Below are 1900 nucleotides of genomic sequence, written 5' to 3' on the forward strand. Positions count from 1 at the left end.
AGACACCCCAGGAAACTGAATGAAACTTGAGCAGCCTAACATTTAAATGTGGGACTTGGCTCTGGCTTAGTGTCAACATGGGAAACAACAGGAGCTTCTGAACTGAGAGAAGAGGAGAGAGGGAAGGCAGTCCCAGTGCGGCACAGAGGAAGGCTCGCACGGGGAGCCACAGTGACTTTGCTAGCACAGACTGACTGCTTCCTATGTACTAGAGTGGGTTACATGCTTTATTTAATCCTTGTCTTTCAATCCTTGAGGAATTCTGGAGCCAGACTGCCTGGGTTTGAATGCTGGTTCCATCACTTACTTCCTATGGACCGTAGACAACTGTCTTAAATACCTGATGATTCAGTTTCTTCAATTGTAAAATGGAGATGATAATGGTACCCAACTCACAGGGTTGTTCCAAAGATTGACTGAGCCCGTGTTTGTAAGTATCTTAGAACAGTGCCTGATGCATAGTAAATGCCATGTAAGTACAAGATGAACAGATAGACAGATAGGCAGACAGACAGACAGGCAGACAGATAATCCCATAAGCATAGATAAAGAAACTGAAGCTTAGAGAAGATGTTAAGTAACTTGTCAGAGGTTTCACAGGTGTTTGCTGTCAGAGCTAAGATTTGAACTTGGCCTATTCGACAATTTCACTTGTGGTCACCTTAGCAAGTGGGATGGAATATTACGGTTTGGAAATATAATCCATTCCCTGACATGATGGATGATGGTAATGACGATGGTGATGATGATAAATATATTAGCAGCTAAAATGTATCGATTGCTTATATTTTGCTAGGTGCCTTATGTACATTATTGGGTTTAATTCTTCTGTAGCCCCTTCAGTTATATACTCTTATCTCCACATACTGAGTTGAATAGTATGCCTCCAAAATTCATGTCCACCTAGAACCTCAAAATGTGACCTGATTTGGAAACAGGATCTTCACAGATGTACTTAGTTGAGATGAGGTCATATGGGATTGGAATGGGCTCTACATCGAATGACTGGTGTCCTTATAGGAAGGCCACGTGAAGACACAGGGACCTTCAGGAAGAATGACAGAACAAAAGGTGATGATGGAGACAGAGACTGGAGTGAGGCAGCTGCAAGCCAAGGAATTCTGAAGGTGGCCAGCAACCACCAGAACCTAGGGAGAGGCGAGGTGGCCATTCGTTCCTAGAGTCTTCAGAAGGCACGTGGCCCTGCAGGCAGCTGGATTTTGGACATCTAGTCTCTAGGCCTGTAAGATAATAAATTCCTGTTATTTGAAGCATGACACATGGGGTTTTATTAGGGGCTTACATACAGTTTACGGTACTTTGTTATGGCAGCCCCGAGGAGCTAATATAGACCAGTTCACAGCTGAGAAATTGAGGCTCAGGGAGATGAAAGAACTTGCCTAAACTCAGCTAGTTAGTGGCGGCAGACCTGGGACTTGAACTTGGGTCTGTCTGACTTCCAGTGTTGTGCTCTGACATCCTCTAGTGAGTGTTGGAGTCGTCAAAGTGTCTGGGTCAGCTTTTAGGCTGGCTGTCTTGCCAAACCCCTATTAACCTCAATAGGAATGGCACCAAGTTCAAGAGGCAGGAGACCCAGCATCAGCAAATGAGAAACCTGGGGTTCTATTGGAGGCTCACATACAGGAGAGAGAGTCCAGGGGCAGTGGGCTGGACGAGATAACCATCTTACCTACAGTCCAGTGGCGGCAAGCTGGGCAGGAAAACTGCAACCACTTGCAAACTGCATGCCGTTTATATAGCATGTCACTTAACACCCTCTCCGTAATGGCCTCCACCTGGACACTCTCATTTAACCCAAAACTCAGGGCTTCAATCCCCTGTATGGCCCCTGTTACATGGAATGGGCTGAGAGTTCAGATGTTTATTATAGACAGGAATG

Source organism: Homo sapiens, chromosome 18 (assembly GCF_000001405.40).
Source record: "Homo sapiens chromosome 18, GRCh38.p14 Primary Assembly".
Taxonomy (NCBI): domain Eukaryota; kingdom Metazoa; phylum Chordata; class Mammalia; order Primates; family Hominidae; genus Homo; species Homo sapiens.